General features: G+C 42.6%; 1 pseudogene; it reads right to left on the bottom strand.

The window, feature by feature from the left end:
• TOMM20P1 (TOMM20 pseudogene 1) lies at positions 4,245-8,540 on the bottom strand (annotated as a pseudogene).

Below are 8,958 nucleotides of genomic sequence, written 5' to 3'. Positions count from 1 at the left end.
TATTGGAGTATGCCTTTCTTTTTTCTCTTCGTTTTTTCTTTCCTTTTCTAATTTTTTATATGAAATAATGAGTAGTTTCTTCCTGAACCATTTGAGAGTGGTAAGTTGCAGATAGAATGCCCCTTTACCACTATATACCTGAATGTGTATTCTTTCTTTTTAACACTTTTATTTTAAATATAAATTAAGAGAAATGGGCCAAAACCATTTGTATTGTTTAAAGAATAATTATAAACACACTTGTATCCACCAAATCAAGAAATGGAACACTGACAGTAAGAACCTTCTCTATCTTGTCCTTCCTTTCTCATTATAGCCCCCACCTAAGAGGTAACCACCATCTTGACTTTTATTTAAATAACTTTCTTGCTTTTCTGTATACTTTCATCACATTCAGGTGTGTTCCAATACAAGTAGATTTTAGTTCGGCCAGTTTTTGAACTTTAAATAAACATATCATAATAGATATATTCTTTTGTGCCTGTTATTGTTTCCACTCAAGATTATGTTTTTAAAATATATGTACCTAGTTTGTGTGTAGCTCTAGTTCATGTATTATTCCGGCTGTAGGCACTTGAGAGGAAAGTTAACTTGTCCAAGATGAATTCCCTGAGGACTGGCCTCCCAAAGGATTTGGTTTTCTGCAGAACTCTATCATAATGGACTACAGCCAACTGCTCAAGGCAGTCATACCTGGTAGAATTCTCAGGTGGCTAATTAGGCCATGGGTCTATCACATCCTACAGCTACAACCATAAGGCTTGAGCCCCAGCTCTGATCACACCAGAGAAAATGCTTCTCAAAGATGGCACAACAGAGCTAGAGGCCAGTGTTCTGTCGTGTGGTTTTACTATTGGATCCCAGCACCTAATACTACTAGAGAAGATGTAGTGCTTCTTAGGTGTGCAAAATATAATCCCCATGGCTCAATGCCTGTAGTCCTTCTCCGGAGTATGATATCTGGGCCCTACTACATTTCTTTGCCCCAGAAGGTGATGGGCATTAGAGTTTCCACACTCTGGATAATGTTCCTATAACCACACGTTTCCACCAATAAAGCAGGCTCCAAAAGGTCTGGAGTGGATACTGCCTCATCAGCTGCACACTTCATAATGGCAGCAGTAACTGTGTATTATGGAAACCAACCAAGGAATTAGAGAACCAAGATTCACCTTGGGTGAGAAAATGCCCTCTTGGCACAGGAGCTGGCCAGCCATATTCAAAGACTGGGATTGTGGGTCACTGACTGGTTGCAGGAACAAAACCTGCCAAGCCAAGGAATTTAAGAGTTATATTTCTGAGAATGGAGATCTAGGGGTGGGGGATGTCACCCAGGATGGTATTCCAAGATTGTTTTTAAGAACCTTAGAGTCACCTTTGAGGAGACTTTCACTGCAGCAAGGCTGGACTACTAGCTCTGATTAAGTTCCTGAGAATCTTAGATTCACTGTGAACCAGAGACTTGAGGTAGAACTTAAGTGATGATCTCTTCAGGGACAGAATTCTGTGGTTACTAATGACCTTGGAGGAAGCTGTCTCCCAGGAGGGGTTTGTTGAGAGTAAGGCTGAATCAGTACTGGATGAATTTTAAACTAAAATGTGGAATATGTCCCCCGATGACATGCCCCTTGTGTAAAGAATGGCATATGACCTTACCTGAGCAGAGCCAATCAAATGGGACCCTTCCCTGATGTTCCTCCCTTGGCTGTGAGTGAGGAGCAGCTTGAGATGTCAGTGTTACTAAGGTGTTGCTCTTTCCTAAAAAGCAAAGATTAGGAAGGCCTAAAGAGGTGGTCTATGTGAGATGCAAAAAAGATATCTAGTACAGTAGGCCCCACTTATCCACTGCTTCACTTTCCGTGGTTTTAGTAACCCACAGAACAATAAGATATTTTGAGAGAGACCACATTCACATGTTTTATTATAATGTATTGTTATAACTGTTCTATTTTATTACTGTTGTTAATCTCTTACTGTGCCTAATATGTTAACCTTTATTATAGGTCTATATGTGTAGGAAAAAAAAAAACAGTGTATACAGGGTTTGGTACTATCCATGGTTTTAGACACCCATTGGAGGTCTTGAACATATCTCCTGCAGATAAGCGGGGACTACTGTATAAGGTATTGGCTCATGTGATTATGGAGGCTAACTCTTGGGATCTGCTCCACAAGCTTGAGACCCAGCAAAGTTGGTGGCATAGTTTGAAGGCTGGAGAGCCAGGGAGCCAATGGAGTAGATTCCAGTCTGAGTCTGAAGGACTGAGGACAGGAGCTCTGAGGGCAGAAGAAGATCAATGTCTCAACTCAAAACAGGCAGAAAGCAAATTCAACCGTCCTTTGCCTTTCTGTTCCATTCAGTCCATCAGCAGAAGGGATGATGCCCTTTCATGCTGGGGCGTGCCACCAGCTTTCTTCAGTCCACCAAATCAAATGTGCCCCTCTTCTGAACTCACCCTCACAGACACAGCCAGAAGTAACAGTTAACCAGCCATCTGGGCATCCCATGTCCCAGTCAAGTTGACTCATAAAATTGTCACCCCTCGGGGCCGGGCGTGATGGCTCACGCCTATAATCCGAGCACTTTGGGAGGCCGAGGCAGGAGGATCACAAGGTCAGGAGTTTGAGACCAGCCTGGCCAACATAGTGAAACCCCGTCTCTAGTAAAAACACAAAAAAAAAATTAGCTGGGCGTGGTGGCAGGTGCCTGTAATCTCAGCTACTTGGGAGGCTGAGGTAGGAGAATCGCTTGAACCCTGGAGGCAGAGGTTGCGGTGAGCCGAGATCGTGCCACTGCACTCCAGCCCAGGTGATGGTGCGAGAATCTGTCTCAAAAGAAAAAAAAAATTGTCACCCTTCTTAACTCCAATTCTAGGTAAAAGAGACAACCCTTAAGGGAGACCAACTAAGTTGACAGCTTTTTTTTTTTTTTTTTTTGAGCTCAGGATCTCACTCTGTCGCCCAGGCTGGAGTGCAGTGGTGGGATCTCAGCTCACTGCATCCTCCACCTCCTGGGCTCAAGTGATTCTCCCACCTCAGCCCCACAAGTAGCTGAGACTACAAGTATGAGCTACCACACCCAGCTAATTTTATTTTATTTTATTTATTGTTATTATTTTTTTTTTTTATAGCAACAGGGTTTCACCATGTTGCCCATGCTGATCTCAAACTCCTGAGCTCAAGTGATCCACCCACCTTGGCCTCACAGAGTGCTAGGATTACAGGCATAAACCACCACACCCGGCCTGAGCTGACAGCTCCTATGCTATGGGGTAATGACTTTTAGATCAAGGGGTCAAAAGTGATGAGATTGGTGACCCCCAATGTTGTTTTATTGGGGGAAAAAACCCCAAAGGTACAGGAGTGCCTCCATGCAGTTGCTGAAAGGACAGTTTACGGGTGAGATATAGAGAATGCTAGATGATGGTATAGCCCATCCAGGAGACAGGAGTGATGAGAACCCAAAGACTGTACCCTGATTTTAAGACAGTGATGGTAAACTGGTAAGTCTGATGAGGACTGAGGAATCATTAATGATCACCCCTCTGGATTCTTAGAGTTGTCTGATTCATTAGGTGTTAAGACAGAAGCATTGGTTGTCCTGTGAACTTTCCAACACAATTTAGACTCTGTAGGAATGACTGCTTACTACTAGGATATCTAGGTACCCATTCAGACAGTGGAACATTCCTCATGCCCAGGCATCTTAACACAACACATTCCTATATCTTTTACTGCCTGCAGAGTATGAAGGCAAGAGAACCCTGAAACTCTCTATTCATAGATACTTGCAGCTTGTCTAATTCTATATGTCCTGAATACATTTATTACCTGCGTTAGTTTTCTATTGCTACATAACAAATTACCATAAACTTTGTGGCTTAAAACAACACAAATTATCTCATAGTTTCTATAGGTCAGAAGTCTGCACAGCATGGCTGAATTTTCTGCTCAGGGCCTCATCAGGCTGAATGAAATCCCCCAGGTGTTGGTTCAGGCTGTGGTTCACGTGGGGCTGGGAGCCTCCTTCCAGGCTCACTGGTTATTTGTAGAATTCATTTCCTTATAGATGTAGGACTAAGATCTTATTTTCATGCTAGCTGTCAGCTCCTAAAGGATGCCTGCAGTTTCTTGCCACATGACTCCCATAGGCAACTCACAAAATGCATGTTTGTTTTCTTCCAGGTCAGCTAGAACATATCTCTCTGACTTTGCTTCTGCAACTAGCCAGAGAAAACTTTTTTTTTTCTCCAAGCCCCTTAATATTCACTTAAACAGTTGAGGCACAAGCAATAATAAAAACTGCATTTTTTTATTTTTTATTTTTTGAGATGGAGTCTCGCTGTGTCGCCCAGGCTGGAGTGCAGTGGCGTGATCTCGGCTTACTGCCAGCTCCACCTCCTGGGTTCACGCCATTCTCCTGCCTCAGCCTCCCGAGTAGCTGGGACTACAGGTGCCCGCCACAAGGCCCGGCTAATTTTTTTGTATTTTTTAGTAGAGACAGGGTTTCACCGTATTAGCCAGGATGGTCTCGATCTCCTGACCTCGTGATTCTACCCGCCTCGGCCTCCCAAAGTGCTAGGATTACAGGCATGAGCCACCGCGCCCAGCCCTAAAACTGCATTTTTTACATTACAAAAAGATTGTCTATGATATGTGCATGATATACCAATTTTCTAATCTCTTCTGCAGTAACATTTCATTAACACTCTGGTCCACAGGTTGATTTAATAAAGTCAGAATGGCAGGCAGGAAGTTGGTAAAATAAACTTACTGAGAGGCAAAAGGAACCAAACATTTACTGACTGCCTATTATGCACGTTCCACTAGGTTTTACACACGTTACATAAATGTGAACCTAAGTTCTAGTTATCAGTTAACAGGCCCAGCATTGCTACAGCCAGTAAGTCTATGTTTTAAATGTTCTTTCACCCTAAGTACAAATTGTGGACCAAAACAATGGATCTTTGCCCAAAGAAGCATGTCAACTGTTGCACTAATACATTATTTCCCATTTCCAAAGTTTTTGTTTTTAGTAAGTGTGCCACATTAGCACATGGAAACATTCAAGCTGTTTATTACTCCACTGAAATTTGGGGTTTTTTCGTTCTCACTTGCTGAGCACCATTTGGCCAGCATCACTACAACGACCTGATTCTATCACCTTGTAAAACTCAAGATGGGAACGGATAGTGTTTGGTGATTACATTTCTGGGAGAAAAAAGTGCTGATCTTTTTTCTTTAACTTGACACAGCTGGCTTTAAAAAAAGCAGTACCTCATTTTAAAGCACCAAAGTTGTCATTTAAATAAGAACATGTACTTGGCTTAATGAGCTGTAAAATGAAGATATCACTGTCTTTTCAAGGATTACAGCAAAGCCAGTATGTTTAGAGCCAAGTGATACTCAGCTCATGCTGCACTCCAGTTCCCAAGGAAATGGTGTTTCTACCCTCCCCAGACCTAAGCTGCTCTTCACTCCTCCAGCCAGCCCTCCTTTTTCTGAGCCCCTTTTTTCCATGCTGAGCTGTCTGCCCGTTGCTCCCTTTCCCACCCCTGTTTTCTCTCTAACTGCCCCTCTATATACATCTGGGCTGGTGCCTAAGACTTTTTAGCTGACTGGTTAATCACTGACCAATCACCACTACACTGCTTTGGATTTGGGATCCCACTAGTAAAACTAACTGGCATGTTTGCACTGGTCATCCCCCCTGCCAAAAGCATCCTATGTCACCAAAAAGGCACTGTTTAAGGGTTCAAGATCACACACCCTCAAGATACCTGAGAAAGGTCCTCAAATGTGAGTCACCTAGTCTAATAGTAGAGGTAAGATCAGAGATGAAATGTGACTTGCTCAAGGCTGTGCGGCTAATCAGAGGCAGAAACTAGAACGATTTCTCCTTCCACTATACCACAAAAACCCAAGGTTAATAACGATTAAGAAGAGTTTGTAAGTAAACCAAAATAAAATGCCTAGTACACAGGAAAAGTCTTTGGGATCTCTCCACAGACTTTTAGACAGAATAAAGGCAGTCTTTACAATGAGAAATGCTACTCAGTTCAACAGATGCCACCAAATACCAAGGATCCTTACTCAATTCTGAAATGGAATCTGTGACTACGGAGAATATGTCACTATTTGAGAATAAGAGGTCCCACCTGCTCCATTATTTTCAAGTTTTCAGTCACAAGGTTGTAACTTACTCTCATCGTTTAACAAGATAAATTAATCAAGCTGAAGTAGGATTTGGTACACCGATGATAAAAGCAAAAGTCAACAAACATTTTTACAAGCAGATCATCCCAGTTACCTTAAAAGTTTCAGATTAATTTACAGAGAAGTGACAGAACCATATAATTTCAGTGAAAATCAACAAGATAGTTATACCATTAAAAAAAGATCAATTCGGCTGGGCGCGGTGGCTCATGCCTGTAATTCCAGCACTTTGGGAGGCCAAGGGGGGCGGATCACCTGAGGTTGGGAGTTCCAGACCAGCCTGACCAACATGGAGAAACCCCGTCTCTACTAAAAATACAAAAAAATTAGCCAGGCGTGGTGGCACATTCCTGTAATACCAGCTACTTTGGAGGCTGAGGCAGGAGAATCGCTTGAACCTGGGAGGCGGAAGTTGCGGCGAGCCAAGACCATGCCATTGCACTCCAGCCTGGGCAACAAGAGCGAAACTCTTGTCTCAAAAAAAAAAAAAAAAAAAAAAAAAAAGAAAAGAAAAGAAAAAAAATCAATTCGGAAATACTAAGGCAAGCATGCAAAATTCAGAATATAAAAAAACGCAAAGCCTGGTTGCCCACACACATTCCTTAGGTTAAGGTGGATTTAAAGATGCTCATCAGAACCCAGTGAATCAGAAGCTGAAAGGGACACTTTGGTGATCAGTGGACGCATTCTCTCATGTAAAAAATGGAGGGAAAGTGAGCACACAGGAACTGGTGAATCTTACAAGGCTAGATTAGGGGTGTACATAGCTCTAATTCCTGGTGCTATTTGCAACTACATGTATTTAAAATCCAAGGAGGTAAATACCTAGAACACATTAAGCCCACTGATTTAAACAAAACATTTCAAGACCGATATACAGAAAGTGAATGAAGTTGTTAACACAGGACAGCAGCATACCTCACATATTTATGTCTAAGAGATTAAATGGAAATAAATGATCGCTCAAAAATTTTAATGCTAGTTTTCACAAACACAACCAAGTTTACCAAATTTCCGGATTTACAGCAAAATGTATGAGCTAAAAAAGTGTGCATTCTTCAGTTTCTCCTATACTTTTTTTTTTTTTTTTTTTGCCTATTTTCAAAACTGACCACTGGGTATTTTTAACATAAGCCATGTCATATGTAAAGTTTAACTATGTTTCTGGAATAAACAAAATCCATAATATTTCAGTAACTCATAGTGTATTTATAAAATGAAAAGTTCTCTATCAAAATATACTTTTCACTGGGAAAAAAATAGACAAATGGATCTACACAAAGTAAACATTAACTTTGGTAGATTTCAGTGTAGTTCATAACAAGCATATTTGCCCTTATTCCCCTGGAGCTGCTCAACTACCAAGAATTATATATATATATATATATATATATATATATATTTTTTTTTTTTTTTTTTTTTTTTTTTTTTTTTTTTGAGACAGAGTCTCACCCTGTCATCCAGGCTGAAGTGCAATGGCATGGTTTCAGCTCACTGCAACCTCCGCCTCCCTGGTTCAACCGATTCTCCTGCCTCAGCCTCCCAAGTAGCTGGGCTTACAGGCGCCCGCCAACACACCCGGCTAATTTTTTGTATCTGTAGTAGAGACGGGGTTTCATCATGTTGGCCAGGCTGGTCTCGAACTCCTGACCTCATGAGCCGCCTGCCTTGGCCTTCCAAAGTGCTGGGATTATAGGTATGAGCCACCGCGCCCGGCCTTAAATATTTTTAACTGAGATTTTATTATGTTGACATTTGTTTCTCATTCCACATCATCTTCAGCCAAGCTCTAAGCACTTACAATTCTCTAATTGTTGGGAGCTTAGTCAGAGGCATCTGGAACACTGGTGGTGGAAGAGTTTGCTGTAAGACCTGCAGTAACTGCTGTGGCTGTCCACACACAGCAATTGCATTTGTCAGATGGTCTACACCCTTCTCATATTTACCTTGAGCTAGTAACTCTTCACCAAGCTGTGTTTCTTCAAGGAAGAATTTCTGAACAGCGTCAGCATCTTTAAGGTCAGGTAACTTGGAAAACCCAGCTCTCTCCTTGGGAAGCTTCTGTTTCTTTCTTCGTTCTCGAAGCCTGTTCTTGAAATTGGGGTCACTTCGTCTTTTGTGGTAAAAGTAGATGCAGTACCTGATAAAAAGGGCCCCACATACACTGGCGGCGATGGCGCTCTTCCGACCCACTGTCTTCTCTACAACGCAGAGCGTGGACGGTGGCGGCAGGGACTGCGAAGGAGCGGTGGGCCACGAACCCTTAGGGCGGAGGGCGGAGGGCGCTGCTCATACCCAACGCCCGTGGGCCAGGACTCGGAAAGCCTGAGAAAACTTTTAAAGTGTTCATGTGATTAGATCAGGCTTGCCTAAATAATCCCTATTTCTAGGTCAATTGATTGGAGAACTTAATTACATCTGCAAACCCCTTCACCACAGTACCTAGATTGAATAACTGGGAGAAGGTATGTGTACACCAATGGCTGGGAATGTTGGTGGGTCATCTTAGAATTCTTTCCAGCTGCCGGGTGTGGTGGCTCACACCTGTAATCCCAGCACTTTGGGAGGCCGAGGCAGGTGGTTTGCCTGAGGTCGGGAGTTTGAGACCAGCCTGACCAGCATGGAGAAACCCTGTCTCTACTAAAAATACAAAATTAGCTGGGCATGGTGGCGCATGCCTGTAATCCCAGCTACTCAGGAGGCTGAGGCAGGAGAATCGTTTGAACTTGGGAGGCAGAGGTT

The sequence above is a fragment of the Homo sapiens genome, chromosome 11 (genome assembly GCF_000001405.40).
Source record: "Homo sapiens chromosome 11, GRCh38.p14 Primary Assembly".
Classification (NCBI taxonomy): Eukaryota; Metazoa; Chordata; class Mammalia; order Primates; family Hominidae; genus Homo; species Homo sapiens.
The sequence above is the reverse complement of the archived record's forward strand: the minus strand, read 5'-3'. Positions and strand labels throughout refer to the sequence as shown.